Source organism: Homo sapiens, chromosome 20 (assembly GCF_000001405.40).
Source record: "Homo sapiens chromosome 20, GRCh38.p14 Primary Assembly".
Taxonomy (NCBI): domain Eukaryota; kingdom Metazoa; phylum Chordata; class Mammalia; order Primates; family Hominidae; genus Homo; species Homo sapiens.
In genome coordinates, this window is record NC_000020.11 from 6568134 (window position 1) to 6590010 (window position 21877).

Here is a 21877-nt window from a genome sequence, read left to right on the forward strand (position 1 = left end):
TGATCAAGTGGAGTCCTGTAGGCTGTTAAAATTGTTGTGGCTTTTATTCTGGTGAAATGAAAAACCAGCGGAGCATTTTGAGCAGTTGATTGATTTGACAGCATCACTGGGGCTGGTGATTGAGAAAAGTGAAAGGAGGCCAGAACCCCAATTTGCAGGCTACTGCAATAACACAGGAAAAAGAGGATGGTGGCTAGTACTGGGATGGTATCACTGAAGTTAGTGAGAAGTGATTAGATTCTGAATAATAATGATAAACAATTTGAGTTAAAAAATCCAAGATATGTAAATCATAATTTGATTTTGATAATAGCAATGTTTATTTGATATAGCAAGAGTTCTTGATATTAAAACAATGCTTTTGACAAAATAATGCTGAAAGTACCTATTCTATGTTCACAATTCTACTGGAAATGCCATGAATATGAATATTATGCATATGGAACACCAAATATCAGCATTAAATTCTTTGGCAATATATTTTTGTCTTTCCTAGCATATCTCAAAAATCAAGATGAATCCTTAAGCTTTCTACCCAGATGTTGTGGGAACTTGAAGACAAAGTCTCAAAGGTAAAGTAGATAGATTTTATTGAAAGCTTTTTCTGTGTCTGTTGAGATGATCCTATGGTTTTTGCTTTTAATTCTGCTTATGTGGTGAATCATATTTATTGATTTGCATATGTTGAATCCACCTTGCATCCCAGTAATAATGCCTACATGATCATGGTGAATCAACTGTTTAATGTGCTGCTGAATTTGATTTGCTAGTATTTCATTGAGAATTCTCGTATCTATGTTCATCAGGGATATTGGCCTGAAGTTTTCTTTCATCGTCATGTCTGCCAGATTTTGGTATCAGGCTGATGCTGACTTCATACAATGAGTTAGGGAAGAGTCCATCCTCCTGGAATTTTTTTTTTTTAAATAGTTTTAGTAGAATTGATACCAGTATTTCTCTTATGTCTGGTAGAATTTGGTTCTGAATCCATCTGGTCCAGGCCTTTTTTTTTGCATTGCTAGGTTCTTTACTACTGATTCAATTTCAGAGTTCAATATTGATCCATTCAAGGTTTCAATTTCTTTCTGATTCAATCAAGGGAGATTGTATATTTCTAGGAATTTATCCATTTTCTGTATATTTTCTAATTTGTGTGCATAGAATTGTTTATAATATTCTCTGATTATCTTTTTTATTTCTGTGCGATCAATTATAATGCCATCTTTGTCATTTCTGATTGTACTTATTTGGATCTTTTTTGTTAATCTAGCTAGCAGTCTATCAATCTTATTTTTCAAGAACTAACTCTTGGTTTCATTGATCTTTTGGATGGATTTTTTGCATTGTTAAAACCCAATATCTCATCATGGTAAAAAACCTCAACAGACTAGGCACTGAAGGAACATATCTTAAAATAATAAGAGCCATCTATGACAAATCCACAGCCGACATCACACTGAATGGACAAAAGCTGAAACCATTTCCCTCGATAACTGCAACAAATCAAAGATATTCCACTCTCATCACTCCCATTCAACATAGTGTTACCAGAGAAATCAGGCAAGAGAAGGAAATAAAAGGCATTGAAATAGAAAAAGAAGAAGTTAAACTGTCTGTCTTTATTGAGAATATGATTCTATACTTAGAAAACCCTAAAGACTTCACCAAGAGGCTGTTAGAACTTACAAATGATTTTAACAAGGTTTCAGGATACAAAATCAGTGTACAAAAATCAGTAGCACTTCTATATACCAATAATGTCTGGGCTGAGAGTCAAAGCAAGAACACAATTTCATTTATGATAGCCACAAAGAAAATGAAATACCTAGGAATACAGTTAACCAAGAAGGTGAAAGACCTGTGCAAGGAGAACTACAAACCACTGTTGAAAGAAGTCAGAAATGACACAAACAATGGAAAAAATACCATGCTCATTAATTGGAAGAATCAATATCATTAAAATGGCCATACTGCCCAAAACAATCTACAATTCAATGCTGTTCCTATCAAACTACCAACATCATTCTTCACAGAATTATAAAAAAACTATTCCAAGAATCATATGGAACCGACAAAGAGCCCAAATAGCCAAAGCAATTCTAAGCAAAAAGGACAAAGTTGGGAGACATCACATTACTCAACTTCAAACTATACTGCAAGGCTACAGTAACAAAAATAGCACAGTACTGGTACAAAAACAGACACATAGACCAATGGAACAGAATAGAAAACTCATAAATAAAGGTGCACACTTATAACCATCTGATCTTTGATAAAGCCAACAATAACAAGCAATAGGGAAAGGATTCCCTATTCAATAGAGGGTGGTGGGTAGCCATATTCAGAAGAATGAAACTAGATCCTTACTTTTCACCATATACAAAATTAACTAAAGATGGATTAAAGATTTAATTGTAAGCCCTCAAACTGTAAAAACTCTAGAAGAAAATTTAGGAAATACTCTTATTGACATTGACCTTGGCAAAGAATGTATGGCTAAGTCCCCAAAAGCAATTGCCACAAAAACAAAAATTGACAAGTGGGACAAACTAAAGAGCTTCTGCACAGCAAAAGAAACCATCAACAGAGTAAACAGACAACCTATGGAATGGTAGAAAATACTTACGAACTATGCCTCCAGCGAAGGTCCAATATCTAGATTCTATAAGAAACTTAAATCAATCAACAAGCAAAAAACAAATAACCCCATTAAACAGTGGGCAAAAGACATGAACAAACACTTTTGAAAAGAAGACTTACAACCGGCCAACAAATATGAAAAAAATGCTCATCATCACTAATTATCAGAGATATTCAAATCAAAACCACAATGAAATACCATGTCACACCAGTCAGAATGGCTATTATTAAAAAGTCAAAAACAAGAAAAAAAACAAAAAATGAAAACAACAGATGCTGATGAAGCTGCAGAGAAAGCACATATACGCTGTAAGTGGGAATGTAAATTAGTTCAGTCACTGTGGAAAGCAATTTGGGGATTTCCCAAAGAACTTAAAACAGGGCTACCATTTGACCCAGAAATGCCATTACCAGGTATATAACCAAAGGCATATAGATGATTATATCAGAAAGATGCATGCGTTCATATGTTCATCACTATTCTACTCATAATACCAAAGACATGGAATAAACATAGGTGCCCATCAATGGTGGACTGAGTAAAGAAAATGTGGTACAGATACCCCATGGAATACTATATAACCATAAAAAAGAATAAAATCATGTCCTTTGTGGCAATATGGATAGAGCTGGAGGCCATAATCCTTAGTGAATTAATGGAGGAACAGAAAACCAAATGCTGCATGTTCTCACTCATAAGTGGGAGCTAAACATTGAGCTCACATGAACATAAACATGAAGAAAATAGACCATGTGGATTACTAGAGTGGGGAGGGACAGAAGGGGTTGTGGGTTGAAAAACTACTTATTGAGTACTATGCTTACCACCTGGGTCAAATATACCCATGTGACAATCCTACACATATATCCCCCTGCATCTAAAATGAAAGCTAAAATTTAAAAAATAAATAAATAATGCCATCTTGGTACAAGTGTGTTACTTAAGTGTTTAAAAAGCATTTTCCCTTGCACTTTTGAGTGGTTCAAGAAAAACACCATATTAAAACGTGTACTTTCCAAAAAAAATAAAGTAGGTAGAGCTGAGAGAATTTCAGATATTTTTCTTTTAGTCTTAGTGGATTCTTATAATTAGGAAAATTGATATAATGTATCTACTCTGAACACCACTGCTTAAGTAGGGAGACAAGAAAAGACTGGCCAGTTCTAGAAGAGCAGAGTGTCTATACATAGCAAGAAGGAGGTCTCCTGTGGCAATTCTTTCTCAGTCTTGAACATTTTGTGGTTGTACAAAGAACACAGTTGAAAGCCAAGAGACTGGGTTCTATTGCTGGCTCTGTCACCGACCAGAGGCACTGCCAAATATCTGTAAATTAACTGCAGAATTTCTTCCAATTTTACCTTTCTGTGACTTGCTGATCACTTTTTCCTAGCCCTTTCAACATCTGTAAAACTATAGAGAACTTGTAAAGCAAGATATCTTTTGCTGCCAGGGTGGTTGGAGAAGCATTTTAGACAATCACGGACTCTCTTTTGGCAGGTAGATTCAACACAGCAGCTCATAAGACTTGAAACTCATTATCACTGTTTTCTTACACAAAGAGAAAACACAGCTCTTCAGAGTGATGACCTGCAAAAGGATTTTAGTTACTTTTGTTTTTAGTTTTTAAAAAATAAAAAAATAAGATGCATTTCTCATCGGCAACACAGGGTGCTAGAGGACAGTGTGGTAATATAGTCAAAGGGCTAAAGAAAGTAACTGTTAAGCTTGGATTTTACATAGTCTGCCACTCTCACTCAAGGTGACAGTGAAACAGAGTAACATTCATAAAAAATCCAGCACCCTTGTTGAACAAACTGAAAGATGAATTCTAGTAAGAAAGATAATACCTTATAGACAAGGAAATAAGATGCATGACACAGTTATAAACACAGAAACTGGTGAAATATATTGGTAAATCCATTGTACTTAGTAATATGAATGATAATAGTAATAACTGACTTAGTTTGTGCTTAAAGCGAAGTGAACTGTGAAATATCCATATACATTTTTTACCTTGCTAGGAGGACAGAGATGTTGATTAACTACAGAGCTTGTTAAAATATGTAAAGCTACCTGTGCATGTTAATGAACAGACTGGCTGTATAATGCGCAGCTTCCAAACTAGCATAGAGAAAACTAAAGAAATTGTAAAACTGAAGGCATGAAATGAGAACAAATAGGCAAACGAATCTTAGTAAGTATAAAAACATAAGATAGCTGAAATAAGCCCATATATATTAGTAATTAAAACAAATATAAACAGTTTAAATTCACCTCCTACAAGGTTCTGGATTAATTGACTGAATTTGTAAAACCCAAGCTACTTAAGAGACACATTCAAAAAACAACTAAGAAAAATTGAAAAAAGTGAGGCTTAGATATTAACAAGATGGATAATCATTTTTAAAGATTCTGAAATATAATTTAATACTAATAATATTAGCATTATTTCTTTACTCCCTGACCTAACATTTTTACTAAATTCTATGTTACAACTATATCTTCTTAAAATATTCTGTTTGAATTTTACATTTTATATATATATATATATATATACACATACATACATATACATAAACAAAGAGATCTATAATTTTTTGTTTTGTTTTTCAGAATATATTCACACCTTTCATGTTGCCTCATTCTCTATATCTTCCCATAAAGTAGCAGGTAGAGACCATCTTCAACCTATCTATTTTCAGTTCTGACACATACAATTCATTTTTAACATTTAAAAAGTATAACCTTATAACAAAAATCTAAATAATTCCCTACTTAAAACCCTTCAATGGTTTTCCATTGCTTTTAGAACTGAAATTCTCACTCAAATCCTAAAGTTTCTGGATAACTTAGTTCCTTCTTATCTGATCAACTTCTTCAAATGTTGTTTCCACCTCATTCACTAATCTCTAGCCATGTGCCATTACCTTTCAATTTCTTGGGCACAGTAGATAAATGCTTTTACACCTAAGGCTTCTGCAGCCATTGTTTTATTAAATTAAATGTCAACTCCTTCAAGAAGACTTCCTTTTCTAATTCTCTGTCTCAGCCACTTGTGTCCTTTGCAGTACTTATGGCAAGTTGAAACTGCCTCATTTGTCTGTTTCCTTATTTTTTTAACTGCCTCTGCAACTGTGATATGCATCCTGAAGGCAGAGACCAAATAGAATCTATTCATTGCTTAAACTTTGCCCAAAGCCTGAAGCAAAGTATTCTCTCAAGACTCTCAATAAATATATCTGGAATAAATCAGCAGATAAATAAATAATTGCTTGAGCAGTTTGCTATTTTGCCTGGGTAATATTTTTTCTAGTAGACTGAAATAATGTCTCTATATCTCTGACTTTCAAACCATAATATTTAGTCTTGAATTTCCATTCCTGGAACTATACGTTCATATTTCCAAGTGCATTTCTCATGTATATCTCAAATACTCAAAACTAAATTCAATTTCTCATACCCTATGAATTGTCCTATTACTTCCCTATTTTGGTTAATGATCCAAGCATTCATCCAAACCCAAGACCTGGAAGTCATCACTCATTCACTCATGTATTCACATATTTATTCATTCATTCATATTTCGTGCAGCAACTATTATGTGGCTCACACTATGTGAAGAGTAGCATACATAATAGTGAACAAAACAGGCATAACCACGTCCTCACAGTTTGTTCTACCATCTCTCTCAAATTATGTTGACTGCTGAAACGTGCATGGTCATTCTACTTTAAGAATGTCTCCTGAACCAGCACCTTTTGAGTGCACCAGCACTTTCTTAAACCAGAACCTCACACACACACACCTTTTCTAGATTAAGCCAACATCACCTCTTATCTGAATCTTTGTAACAGCTTCCGGATTGGTTTCCTTGCCTCTAGTCTCATCTCATTCCAATTCATTTGTCACACTACTCAGGGCTTTTCCTAAAACATAAATTTAACCACCTCATGGCTCTACAAAATTTCCCTGTCTCACCATCACTTACAAGATAAAGTTCAAACTCTGTAGCACGACATGCCATGTCCTTAATGATTCAACTCTAGCAAATGGCATTCAGCTTCATGAACATGACCTCATGTCTGCATATGCCATTCCCTTAACATGGAACCTCCCTTCTGCGCTTCACCATATCAGCCTGGCAAACTCCTTCCATTCTCTCCTTTCTTGTTGAGGTTTCCCTGACTTCTCTGCCCATTGAGGCAGAAGCAAGAGCTTTTGGAACCATGTTCTCGTAATCCCTTATAGGAAGGAATCCATGCTATCATACTGCATTATGGGAATGTCAAAGATGTTTATATGTCTGGCTTCCTCACTAGACCATGGACAACTTGCAAGCCAAGAATCTGGCTTATACAAGCTTCTATCTACACCAGCTGGCATAGTGCCTGCAACATGGGAAGTGTTACTACTAAATCTTTGTGCAACAATTAAATATTGATTAAACAAGTGTTGCATTTTCAGTCATTTGCCTGAAATGACGCAGTTATCAGTAGCAGAGCTGATCCAAACTTCCAAGTTCCCACTCGAATGGTTTTTCACTAAAGCACCACTGTCATGTATCCAATGATTTTCAATTGATCCAGGGTAGAGTAAAGCCACAGGGCATGCCTTAGGTTGGGGAGATGGGTTAGAATCACCTCAGGTCTTTTTCAACCTAAAATGCTTATCGGCATTCTGATATGTATTTCCTGAAAAAAATTGCCAGTTGGGTGTCCTATATATTATATGTTGAAGAATGAACAATGCTAGTAGGGAAATAATAGAATGGAAATCAGGCAGGTGTGGATTTAAACATCTATTCCTTAATTTATCAGCTTTGTCTACAGATGAGGAAACTGAGGCACAGAATGTGTCATTTAACTTCTATGTGCCTCAGTTTCCTCATCTGTAAACATGGTACCATATTTGGGAAGTTATAATGAGGATTTTGTCAGCTGACTGACCCTTGGTAAAGGGTGAGAATATTTCCTGGCACATACGAAGTGTTCTAAAATTTAGTTTCTCTTTCCCCTTTTCCCCCTAGGCTTTGATCAGAAATCCAAGCACACAAAAATGGCTTTTCCATTTGTGTAAGGGGAAGATTATTGCTCTGCTGATGAATTGTGTGCATTTCACGCACACTTTAACAGCTCCAGGGCGTCTTCAAATTAGAGCTCCTTATCACTCATTAGCACCATTGCAGGAAGGCCGATAAACCTCACCTCTTGCTTAGCTCTCTGACACAGCTGGGGAAACCTCCATTTGCTCTTATCATCTGAATTCTGACCTTAAAGGTTTCACTCTAACCCCAGGGCTTAATTTATCTTCTGTTAAAAGCAGCAGTTTTCCCTTACATGGAAACTGTCATGCCCCGAGTATGCATAGTGAGACAGAGAAACAGTCCTGTCTGTTTCATCTCAGACGCGAGGGAAAAGTCCCTTGCACCCTTCTCTTCTGCGGATAGATGGGCTTTGATTACAGAGGAGCACATTGCAACTTCAGGCTGCTATTGTACACCACATACTGTAAAGGTTTAAAAGTTGACAAAATGCCATGAATACCATTGTGTGAATTCAACCTCGTGTTTGTTTTACCTACTGTACATCAGAATACACTTCCTGATAGCTGAGAGTTTGTGTTGTTTTGACTAAATTTGGACAAATATGCATAAAATGTGTATTCAACAGATATTTCATGTAAAAACAAAGAAAGGCTTGTGTCTTTAGATTGCCCCAGAACCTGAGGGCTACTGAGAATTATAAATAAAGTTGGCTTCACAGGCCTGCAGTCATAAATGACATTTTTTTAAATGATGGAAGGGGGAGATTTGAGTGGTACAGGAACCTTCCGTTTAATTCCCCTCCTCCCAAATATGTCCAAAATTTAAAGAAAGCTCCTTTAAATATAACTCAGTTGAAAAGGAGCTTTTGATTCCTGGTTATTGGGGAAGGACCTGTTTAACTATTTATACCATTGCTTTGTTTTCTTAAAATTGATGCAGGAGGAACATGGGTCCAGCCCTTTTAAAATCCTATGTTTTATCACTCTCCGGTTGATGGGCGCAATCCAGCATGAGGAAATTAGAAACAGCTGGAGTAGACACAATGCTTTCTTTTGAAAAGACATTTCAAAATTACTAGAGAAAAATAGAGATTGCTCTAAAGAGCCTATCTCAAAATGTGGTTTCTGGCTCAACAGCATCAGAATCTCCTAGGAACTTGTTCGAAATGCAAATTATTGGGCTTCATCCAGCCCTGCTGAATTGGAAATTCTGAAGGTAGGGCCCAGCAATCTGTGTTTTGACAGCTCTTCTATCCCCTACCCCAAGGAATTCTGATGCACAAAAGCAAACTAAAAATGAGACCTAAACCACAGGAAAGAGTAGCAAGAGAAAAGAAATCTTGAAAGGCCAGAGGGCAAGAGAGGCGTGATTTCAGGACATTTAATGATTCAAAGGAATGATGGAAAGGTGCTAATTGGGTACTTAACATCTATACTTCAACATGCATCTGTTTCTAAATCTGAAATTAATGGACAGACTATAAACAGCTTCCAAAGGCAGTGGAAAATACAAACCCAATGAAACAAACCAGAGTCAGGAAAGAGGTTGGCAGCACAATAACTGCAACATCAATTGTATTTAGATGTTTTTGTCTATAGTCTATACTACATAATAACTACATAGTCTATATAGTTATTTCAACATCATTAAATAGGATGTGTGATTAAATAAGTGCATGTAAGTAAATTATTAAAATGCATTAAGAGTATGCTTTTGCATACTTGTAACTTAGAGTAGACAAATCCTCCTGCTGAGAAAAACTAGAAACTGAACAAAATTCAGACACCACGTGTTTGAATGCCTCAGAAAGCTGTCTAAGCAGTCAGATCCTGGAAAGGAGGGGAGCTCATTGAGAGAAGCCTGACTTTTGAATCCAAGTTTCCCCTGAAGTTGAACACACCATATTGCCCAGAAATTCCACTCATATATACATATATATACACAAATACACATAAATATCCAAGAGAATGCACAGACACACACACATATCCAACAGAAATGCATGCATGGATATCTATCTATATATATATCCATATCTCCACATATATATCTCTAACAGAAATGCATACATAAGTACACCAAAAGGCATGGGTAAGAAATTTTCTATTTGCAATAGCCTCAAACTGAAAACTACCCAAACATCCTTGAACAACAGAGAGGATGAATAAATTGTACTGTATTCATGCATGAGATACTGAGAATGAATTAAATACAGCTACATGCAACAACATGGATGAATCTGATGAATATAACATGACATATCTCATTTACACAATTTCAAAATCATACAGTGATAATCCATGGTATTAGAAGTCAAGATAATAGTAACGTTTGATCTTTATGGTAAAAATGGTAAGGAGAGGGTGAGGGCCTACTGAGTTCTGCTTATGTTCCTGTTGCTGAACCCTGCACTGTGTGTTCCGTTTGTGGAAATTCAGTTAGTTGAATACTTGTGATTTGGACACTTTTCCTTACATATGTTACAGTTTAACAAGCACTCTTACTTTAGAAAAATATACTAAGAGGAATTTTTGTTTTCTTGTTTCTCTGACGTCTTTGGAGTCCATCCATCAGGTGTGTCTATGCCATCCTATGGAGACACCCTGGATTATCTGAAAGTAACTGGAGGCAGGAGAATGTGATCATAGAGAATCTTAGATTAGTGGGTAGACAGGCCTATGAATTGCTGTGTGGCTTTGGAAAGCTCTTTAACCCAAGTCACATTTTCCTCATCCTTGCATTGGAGTTGATCGTTAAAAGAGCATCTAACTCATAGGATTTAGTGAGGATTAAATAGGAGAGTTCATCTAAAGCACTGATGGTGGCAGGCAGTGGGTGGGGGTGGCCTAATGGCTAAGAATAAAGGCTGGGTATCTAAGATAATTGACAAGGGCCTTTCTTTTTTTTTTTATGGTTAATGTACCATTCTTTATGAGAATGTGCTAGCATAATGATAGAGGGCTGAAGCATGTAATCTATAATTAATACAAAGTGAACTGTCATGGGGGATGGGGAGGGAAATGGGCCTTTCTGCAGAAATGTAAGTGCGGTCATGGAAACGGCTATAGCTCCTTGATTGTAATTATTCAACCTCACTAGAGGTCTGCAACTAGCTATTAAAGTGCTAGTGGTCCCGACAAGGGCCTTTCTAAGAACACTGTCTTTGCAACTGTACCCCTTTTGAATAATATAAATATCATGGTTACTCACTTGGCAGAGTGGACATCCCTAAGAAATTCAATCAGACATTTTGAGGTTGGTGAGAGAGGGAGAGTTGACGGAGTTGGAGGAAGAAGAAGTCGTGACACCATGACTGAGAACTCTGTCTGATGACCCAGGGTCATAAAATTTATCATTATAAATGTCAAATAAAATAAATGATAATTAATCAATAAAAAATGACACATGATAAATAAATAAATAAATAATAAAATTACCATCTGTGCAGGGCAGGCTGAAAATGCTGAGAAGGTAAAACTCTCTAGGAGAATCCTTCAGCCAGTGACTGATGGGAGTTGGTGGATACTCAACTCCCTTGCCTCTTGAGCCAGATGACTGAAACGTATGCTCTATACTGTCCCCCAGAGATGCCCAGTTGAACTGGGCTCCAGTTACCCACAGTGGTAATTTGCTTAACAGCATACCTTCTATTGACTGCTTTCCCTTACCTGTATCATTTTTCCTTTCTTTTCCCAGTGTTTTGTGAGAGCATCTTCCAAATAAATTACTTGTACTCACATTCTTGTCTCGTGACCAGTTTCTGGGAGAATCTAAACTTAAGACAGTCTGCATTGCACAACTTATGGCGTAGGCTTAGTTGCTTTCTCTGAGACCTTCGGGCAGCTAGCACCACTGTGGCTGCCTCCTTTGGAATTGTCACCTCTACCACGCTGCCGAAGTGCCTGAGACCTACTGCTCTGAAAAAGACTTTGTTTGTCACTGCCCAAGCCCACTGTGAAGCCCCTTCCCCTCCCTTGAGCCAGGTGTCAGGATGGCCCTCCTATCCTGTCCCTCTGTTACCTAGGCAGTGGCCTCATCACTTTATTCATAAAGTTAGACTTCCTCACTCTGTATCTGCGTATTCTTATTGCTTTCTCTTTTCCAGAGACTCCGTTTTGGTCAACAATTAGCCCTTCCACATTTGGATCCTGGGCCACATGTGGAAATAAAGAGTTCCAGAAGAATTCTCCCATGAAGGCATTGGAATGCTTCAATACATAGTTTTGTGCCAAATCTACAATAATCTTCCCAAAAGAAAGACTCTTCAGTGTTCTGGATTTTTCGGGACTTATCTTATTTTCTTGTGCAACATCTTAACACAAACTAGAATAAAGATGACATATAATCATCTGCATTCATGAATAAAAAGAATGATCTAATTGTACTAATTAGCCAAACTGCAACCCACAAAAATGCACCAAGTCTTTATCAACATCCACCTCTGGTTACAGAATGTATCATGATGCCTTATTAGCAGCAGCCCAATGGCTCCCTGGAGCACCACTACTTCTGTCAATACATGCTAAAGCAGCACAGAAACATCTACGAAGATAGGGAACGTTGGGTAGGAAAGACCAGGACTGCAAATATCTTGCCATCCCAGCCTTGGAAGGGACCTCAAGGCCATGTAGTTCAGCCTGCATCCCCTCAGAGTGAAGCATTCTGTGTTCCCCAAAAGGCAGGAGAAACTTTGCCTGTGGTAGTGTGGGTTGCAACCCTTCAAGGATGCTTCTGAGAATCATGTTGTTAAGATAGCTACTGAGCAAAAGGCTGGGATTCTCAAAGTCACTTTGAGCGCATGTAATAGGAGGCAGAGATGAGGTCATCTCCCTAAAGGTCAGCTGCATCCCCAGATGTGTTCTTACCTCAGCCCTCACTTGAAGAGAGCCAAAAAAATGGCTCATCCAGGGGAAAGTGTGGGACTTATGCCCACACGTCCATAGCAGACCAAGCACCTGGCCAGGCCCAGCAGCCAGGAGTGACCCCGCCCCTTGTTCTCTGCCAAACATTGTTCCTTGTACTTGGCCAGTACCCGGGTTTTGCAGCCTCAGACATCTAACCACCTTTTCCCAAAGGACCTCACCCACTTTACCTCAACCCCACCCCATCCCATCCCTTGGCCAGACCTGTAATTACTGGACCTGAAAAGCAGCCTCCAGGATACCACATGGGGGCAGGGCAGCCCCCAGCAAGCAGCCAACTAAGATTTTTCTTTCTACAACATCCCTTCACTGTTCTTTCTCCCTCATCCTCTCATTACCTCCTCTCAGGGGGTTGTGCCAGCCAGGGCTACCCCTCACACTTTTGGGGCCAGAACAAAAGTAAAATAATATCCCCTCTCCTGTCCCCTGCCCAGTCTATGGCTTGGTTCTTTCTCTTCCTAATCCCTGACTCTGTCCACATGGGACAGCCCACGCAGGTGTACACACACTCCATCTCACAGTTCCAGCCACCCCACTGCTATGCAATGGCCTCTTGCTGCCCCTTGGGCCTGTATAGGTGCACACCATCCACTTCTAATGGGGACAGAACAAGGAAAGATTCCCCTGCAAGTTCTGAATACCAGCTCAGGACCATTTGGGTAGGGAATTCTGTTTCCAGGTGTCCGAAGTGTGGCCAAGAAGGAGGGATGTTGGGTCCACGAAGGGTCATCCACTTGACCCTGAAGGATGTTTGCCAGAGAAAGGTCGGAGTTGGGCTCTCTAAAAGGCAGGACCCAGGGCAAAGATCTACCCTGGTAAAGGGTTGGTACTGGCACCAACTTACTAAAGAGTTTCTGGGCTTCCAGTGTCTTCCTTCTTCCCACTGAAGATATCTATGTTGGATCAAATCAAATCTGTTTATGACACCTATCATGCTCTAAAATAAACACAGCTTCTCTGCCAAGCCTTCTACAAGAACCAAACATGGCTTTCAAAATCATTTCCTTCCCATACCTGAGCATTCTGTGACCGGTAGACAGAATCTTAAAAGAGAAGACCCTGGGAGCAAAGAGACATAAACAGAGTAGCTGCTGTGCCTTCTGAGAATGAGGGGTCATCTGCTATTCCCTCAGGGTACTCAGCTCAGCTTTCCTGGTTTTGTTCCATTTTGTGAGAAGAAGTAATTATATACCATATTTAAAATAAGTGCTATTAACATCTATAAGCACAAGAGAAGTTACGAGTTTGCAATTTTAAATGTGGTAGGCTTAATGAGAAAATGACATTTGAACAAAGACTTGAAGGAGATGAGGTATTTACCTATGTAGATATCTGGAGGAACCTTCCAGACAGGGGAAACAGCCAGTGCAAAGGCCCTGTGGTAGGTGCTCTTCTGGCTACAGGAAGAGGGGGGATGTCAGTGTACCTGGAACTGAGCAAGCAATGGGAAGAACAAGGGGAAGAGATAGTAACCAGATTGCACGGAGCAGCACCTCTTAAATTACAGAACTTTCACTCATTAGTGAGTGAGATAGAAGAGGGGGCTTTGGAAAGTCTTGAAACCAGAAGTTGTCATAGAATGACGGTGGCTATCATTGGTGAGAATAGCTAAGACTAGAAGCAGAAAGACCAGTTATAAGGCTATTGCAGCAGTCTAGGCAAGAGATGATGGTGGCACAGGCCAGCAAGGTACCAGTGTGGGTGGAAGGAAATTATACAAATCTGGATATATATTGAAGAAAGGTTCAATGGGATTTCCTGGCTTTCTTCATTTTTGGAATAATGTAGCTACTCTGGCATTAGTCCAAGTCACTAGTAGTCATTGAAGAACAAAGAATAACTGGTGGAAACAGCTTCCTCCAGTGAATGTTATTGATAAGGGATCAATGTGAGGCACAGGTCTTAATCTCTTGTTCCACCTCCAATCCTGGCGATCTTTCCCTCTCATGACTCATGCTCAAAATTTGTCCAGTTCCTCTCTATACGTCTCATTCATAAATGATGTTGGTCACCACCTTCTCATTCAGCCACTGTCAATACTTCTGAAACCAATTGGAATGTAAGTAAATACATGCATTCCTAGGTAGGTAGGTAGGTAGGTAGGTAGGTAGGTAGGTAGGTAGATAGATAGGTAGATGCATAGATTCCCAAGCAACCAAAAATATAGATACAATGGTCTCTGCATTTGATTATGTGCTTGCTTGTTTGAAAGTGTAATATCAATCAATGCATCACGAATTGAGCCAAAGGTTTAGTGTTGGTGTTACTTAGTAGCGACAGCAAGCAATTTGCTCAAATCTCTTGGGCTTCTGTTTTTCCCTTGAAAAATGAAGTGAGTGGGAACGGTGCCCCTTAAGTACCAGTTAAGTTTACACATCACGTTTTCTGCTTCCACCATGCCCCTGCACCTTTATTTTCTTTCATCTTTCCAGTGATCCCCCCTAATTAGGAGCTCTGCTTATAAATGGTATCTTTTGTCTCTTTCAGTTACTTTCTTCCTCCCTGGTTTAATGAGCTTTCTCCACAGTGTGCCTTTTTCTCCCAGTAGATGGCAGTATTCAGTTTTGTTTCCTGATGCTACTTTGCCCTGTTGGAAGGCCTGGGCCAGCTGCCCTTTCTGCAAAGCCTATGTCCTTTTAGCACTAGAGGTGATCACAGAAGAGGAAATTAAGGGAGGAACTGATGAGTGTTGAAAGGCTCCCATGAAAACCGTGGCGATGCCAAGTAGCCTCCTCCTGTTTTCAAGCAGGTTTATTTTATTTAACTTTCGGGTTAGTGATAAAAACAACGGTCTTCCACATGTCAAAGTGTTGTCCCAACTCATCTGATCTTTCTACTCTGTGACGCAGTTAGTACAGATTTCATTGACCTCAGGTCTTGATCCCAGGAGTTATAATGGGATGGCTGCTGTTGTTGAGGATATTCAGGGTTAGAAGCAGGAAGACCAGTTAGGAGGCTGTGGCAGTGGTCCAGGCAAGAGACCGTGGAGCTACCAGCCGGGAGCACTGCAGGTGGGGGATGTGGTGTGGAGACGGATGGTAGTGGAACAAGCTCTGAGCTTGCTACCTGGAGAACCAGAGTCTCCTCTGGCACTGTTATTTCACTAATCTTGGCAACACTCTCAATTTCTCTGGGCCTCTGAAGACACCCCCTGTTCTAGGATTCTGTGGAATCATGAAGGAAATCAATCCACATGTAGCTTGCAAGTCACCTGACAAGGGACACATCACTCACCGGTTAATGGTGCATTGAGAGCCAGAAGCCATATCTTTAGTAGGGGCTTCACCTTACCACTAACTGAAGATGGTGTGAAAACATCCATTTCCGCAGTCCAGTTTCTTGTCTTTCCAGAAGAAATCTCATCTAGGAAAACAATATGTGTAACAAATCAAAGCAAACTGCTCCGGTTGAAAGGGGATAGAATCCTGCACCTCCTGGCCCCCACCTTCCCACTGACTGCAAGTAGCAAGTAAAGACCTCCAACAGAGAGGAGCAAAACCCCTGCCAATGTGACTTCAAATCTTCAAGTGCCGTGCCTTGACCTATGTTAATCAAGGAATTCTGGGATCACTAATATCAGTTTTTTCTTGAACTCCTCGGGAAAATTTTGCAGGGAGGAGAATAATATAATAAGAGTATGGAGGAATTTTTGTGTTTGGGAGTGGGATATATTGGGGCGGATGGTGTCACACAATAACTTTAAAACATTTTATGGTTCTTAATTGCCTATAAGATCAAATTTAGACTTGTTAGCATAGATAAAGGAGTTTCATAATCTGCCCCCATTCCCCCCCTCCAATCCTGGAGGGGATACTATCCTTCTGGTATATCTTTGAAGATGCCACGCACCTTGACACTCCTACTCATTCCAGAAAACACAACTCCAAAACCTTCCTTAAGCAATAGCCCTGACAAGCATTCATAGCGTTTTGTATATACAATTCTTTTACAGTCTGTATCACAGTGTTTGTTTTCCCGCCAGCTTCCCTCTTTGTTTGTTACTTGCTTGAGAATAGGGACCATGTCTTATACATTCTAAACATCAAGCATGATCCAAGAGAAGGTCTTACTGTGCAAAATCAATGAATAACAGGAGGTTTTGGGGGTCATGTTGTAGTGTTAGGATGTGGGAAAATATCATAAGCTAAGGGATGACTTAGAAATGTATTACAGATAATTTAGTCAAATACAGCCACTATGGCCTTACAAAGAAATGTGTGTGTGTGTGTTCGTGTGTGTGTGTGTGTGTGTGTGTGTATATGTGTATATATATATATATATATATACTTGCAATTAATCAAATTGTTTAATGTCTGCCTGCTTAGTAACAAAGAGATTACATAGTTTGTTGTTATTATTGCTTGTAAATGACCTTGCAGAGTTTCTTTACAATCCATTGGGCAAATAGGACTTCAGTAGGAAGGAAATTAATACGCATGAATTCAGCATGCACAATAATTCAACCAATATTGTTTGATGTTAGCATCCTTTTGAAAAGAAAAGGTAAAACAAATTAATTGTGAAAACAGAGTTGTATTAGAAATTCTGATCTATTTTTTAAAATGATCTACTTTATTGCACACAAATAGCATGTTTATATGCAAATAATAATAAATAAGCCTTATTTACATGTACATATTTGATTACTCATTTGTCCATTTAAAATAATGCAATATTTTATATTGAAACTTTTTATTTCTCCAATTGCAGTAAACAAGTTCCTCTTACAGGTTACTCTTATGATCAAGGATAATATAGAGGAAATGAGTTATTGGCTAATGCTAGCCAGGCATTAAAGACCACTACAAGTGTTGTATTTTCTCTTTTTCATTTTTCTGGAGATCCATGTTCATTAATGTATTTTTTTATTCCTTAGAAATATTTTTCGTTTAGCTTTTTAAAGCAACTGTGTCAAACTCCAAAATATTCCCTGTATTAAAAAATATTATATCAATTTAATCCTAAGTATAATTTTCTTAGGGAAGTAATTTAAAAACTTTTCTACAGTCTTAAAATGTGGTGATATTCTATTATGAAATGGAAGGACAATGGGGATTCAGGGCACAGATTGTAGGATCTTGATTGGGTTCAAATTCCAGCCCTACTACTTAGAAGCTGTGTGACTCAGAGCAAGTCACTTTGCCATTCTCTGTCTCATTTTCCTCATCTGCCAAATAGTGGAAATCAATGTACCAGTCTCTCAGGGCTGTTGTGATCATTAAATGAGTTGAGATGTTTAAAGTGCTTAGCTAGAAAAGGTGAGGATACATTCTCCTCCAGAGCCTCAAAAAGGAACCAGTCCTGCTGACACCTTGACTTTGACCCAGCGAAACTGATTTTGGGATTCTGTTCTGCAGAACTGTAAGAGAATAAGTTTGTGTGGTTTTAAGGCACTAAATTTGTGATAATTTGTTACAGCAGCCATGGTAATCTAATATAGAATTTGGTAACAGATTTCCAATATTATCATAAAAATCAATAGAAAAATAAAACTCTGCTTATATAAATTGAACTTGAAATGCATTATTAATAAATCCTATTTGTTTCTAGCAGGTAAAAATTAACTTTTTAAAAATGCGGTAATGTGTATTTTGAAATTGACTTTCTTTACATTGAAGACATAGGCATAGGAGTTCCATATGTTCTGATTGCAATAGAATATGCCATATGGAAGATGATTAAGTCTTCTTGTTTAATTAAAAATAAGAGAAAGTCTTTAAATCCTCTTATCACTACAGGATTTCATCTGATGCCTCTGGAAAACTAAATGGCCCTTTACTTTTTTGTGTTAAGCAGTCTGTTTTCTGGTCACTTTTATTTTCTACTGAGAAGAATTTATCACCTTAGAAAATGAAACAGAAAGGAAGGATGGAAAGAAGGAATGAAGTAGATAAAAAGAAAGAGCTGTAAGAAGGAAGGGAAGGAAGGAAGGAAGGAGAAAGGGAAAGGGGAAAGGAAAGGAAGAAGGAAGGAAGGAAGGAAGGAAGGAAAGAAGGAAGGGACAAGGCCGGTTTATGAGTAAGAACAAACATTACAGCCAATACCAACAATTTACAACTCTACCCCAAAATACATGCAGATTTATAATCTTCTTCCACTAAATCTACAGATGTTTGAAACACTACAAAGGATATAAAACATTAAAAAAACCCCAACATCCTCAAAGCATATGTACACACATGCCCATAACCACTGCTACCATTAAATAATGTTTCAAAAACTACCGCAGGGGGCATGTGGAATTTATAACCTCTCCCTTTTAAGTAATTCCCCTTCTTCATATTTTCTGTTACCTGTACGTAAATTTGGTTCATGATCTGTGTGTAAAGTAGAATTGATTGTTTTATAAGACATACAAAAATAACCTTTCTGGTCCTAAGTATATATAAAGTCTCAAACACATATAAAGGTACTTCAAACTACCAGCAAATAGTTTTTGGTAATGATTTTAATAATATTGTTCAGCTGGCAATACTTATAACTAGGTCATTCACATTTTAATATTCTCACCTTTGTTGCCTGTGTAAATCACCCTCAGAGTATTTGACTGAAGTTGGTACCAACAATCTGGTTGGTGCTTGACATGTCTACTTGGGATAAGGTTCTTGAGATATTTTTCTCAGCTCATAAGCCCCATCAGTTATCTTTGCAAAGTAAAGCATTATTTACAAGGATCAGAAAGTACTACGTATAAATCAACACAGATGTTAAAAACATAACTTTAGATTCATATCCCAGTTCTAGGCAAGTTGAAGAGTTTTCTTTTTTTCTTTTCTTTTGAGACAGGATCTCACTGTTGCCTGGGCTGGAGTGTACTAGTATGATCATGGATCATTGCAGCCTCCACCTCCTGGGCTCAGGTGATCCTCCCATCTAAGCCTCCCAAGTAGCTGGGATTACAGGCATAGGCCACCATGCTTGGCTAAGAACTCTTTTTGAGTCCAATTTTACTAGTTATAAAATTGAGGGGAAATGGCTGTTTATAAAAAACTAATGAAGATTCAATGAGCTCATGTACCTATGATCAGTTTTCAATAAAGGGCATAATCTCCACTGCGGAGTAAACCAACCCCCAGCAGCAGTGACACTCAATGCACGAAACAGAATGATCCAGACAGTGCTGCATTCCTTCTTTGTGGAAAAAAATAGGTGGTTAAGATGGGGGAAAATGTTGCTATCTATAGATAAAATTTCCACATAGATACAGATGCAAAATGGAATAAAACTATTTCTTATGAAGGAACTGCAAGCTAATTATTATACAGTATTCATTGACTCTTTGATATGCATATTCATCATCTCAGAATGCATCAGTGAAAGTTTTCATGGTAGCTAAAAGTAGCCACAATAGAGAGGCTGACTATATTGCACAGAAGTTGTCCCTTTGTTTAAGCCCCCAACTCATACCTCTGTGCTGACCAAGCTGGTCTTCTGTTACGAGAACATTTTATGCTCAATTCTGAGTGTGTATTCACTTTGACTGCTCTCTGTTTTAGCAGGTCCTTGTTCTCTCTCCACTTACAAAATTCTTTCCTATTCCTCATGAGTCCACCTCCTACCCCCAGCTCTTACAGGGAACCTCCCATTATTGCCTTGCCTGTTGATAGTCCCTTTCTCTGAACTGCCGCCCAGTCTGGCATTTGATCAGATTTTGAATGATGTAGATATGAGCCTTTCATAGACCCACTGAACTGGAAGAGGCATTAGAAAGCATCTAGTCCAACCCTCTAATTTTATAGATAAAGAAACTGTACTCCACAGAGTGCGGGCATCCTGCCAAAGATCACTCAGAGAGTGAGTAGGATCCTGGCTTCTTGACTTCTCATCTACAACTCTTCCCACTTCACCACTCAGATATTGTGTTGGTGCCAATGTCTCATACTTTTTGCCCCTCTCTCCTCTTGGTTGTAAAATCCTGTTTCTAATATTTTGATCTTGTCCCTTTTATTAGAGAGTACAGTTAAAAAAAAAGAAAAGAAACGGTTTCTTGATTATTTCCACATAAATGTGTGTCACACTCACCTTAATATAGGAGTTAATTCCTGGTCTTCCTCAATTTGCTGGTAGTTAGGGAAAATGTAGAGAATAGGGTGTCAAACTCCACTGTTTCCAAAATTGTGAATTTTTCATTTTCCCTCCTCACATATTTTACAAATATATGCCTACTTTTACAAGCTGTATACATTGCTGATAAAGTATGCATGAGGAATATACCTATAATTCTCATGCAATATGCATAAATGCCCTAAGGTTTCATTAAGCATTTGCATGTTTAAAATAATCGCCACCTCAATTTGAGGGATATTCTAATAAAAACTGACCTTAACTTAAAAAAAAGTAAATGTCATAAAAGACAAAACCAAAACAAAATAAATTTTAAAAACCATGTTTCAGATTAAAGGATTATCAAAGGAGATAATAAATGCAGTGATGCTGGATTGGGAACTAGAGCAGAGAAAATAAAATATCTGTGAGAGACATTATTTGAACAACTGGCAAAATTTGATTATGAACTGTGAATTTAGATAATAGTATGGTATTAGTGTTAAACTTCTGAGTTTTATTAATTGCACTGTGGTTTAGTAAGGGAATAAGATGATGTTCTTTTTCTTAGGAGATCTATGATGAAGTATTTTAAGGTAAAGGAACATCATATCTACAACCTACTCCCAGTAGTATAGTATAGCATAGTATAGTATAGTTAGGTAAACAAGAGGCGAGAGATATTACATATGATAATACAAGTAGGTCAAGATAAAGAGTTTTTGAAAACTTAAAATTTCTGCTAATCTATATTCAATGTGTTCTGCTCCTTTATAGTCTCAGTATGGTTTCAGGAAGCTCTCAAAGCTGTGAGCTTCATCATTCAGGTCTAGCACAACAGAGGAAGCATACCTGTGCTTCGCACCGATTGGCTTGAACTAGTCACAGGACTAAACTTGAACCAATCACAATGGGCAAGAAAGTGATTTAGCTGATTGGATTAGCTTAAATCATGTGCTCTAATCTTAGAGCTCTGCATGAAGGTTTCATTCCTTGGAACCCCCTGGATACTCGCCCACAAAAAAGAGTAGAGGAAGGACTAGACTGGGTTTTAACTTCTGGTTAAGATGTTAATAATTAGCGTTAGATACTTTATATATGAAGAAACTAGGGTCCAAATTACTTTTGATAATATGCCAATATTATGCAATAAATGGCAGAACTAAGGGTAGAATTTGGGACTTCTGATTCCCATGCCAAGTGCCAGTTCTACCATTGGGTTAGACC

General features: G+C 38.1%; 1 annotated feature.

The window, feature by feature from the left end:
• Nucleotides 20296–20496: a silencer, noted in NCBI's record as "peak4139 fragment used in MPRA reporter construct". NCBI's record gives its function as "represses an SCP1 promoter by STARR-seq MPRAs in K562 erythroleukemia cells {active_cell/tissue: K562}" and the evidence as "EXISTENCE:reporter gene assay evidence [ECO:0000049][PMID:32103011]".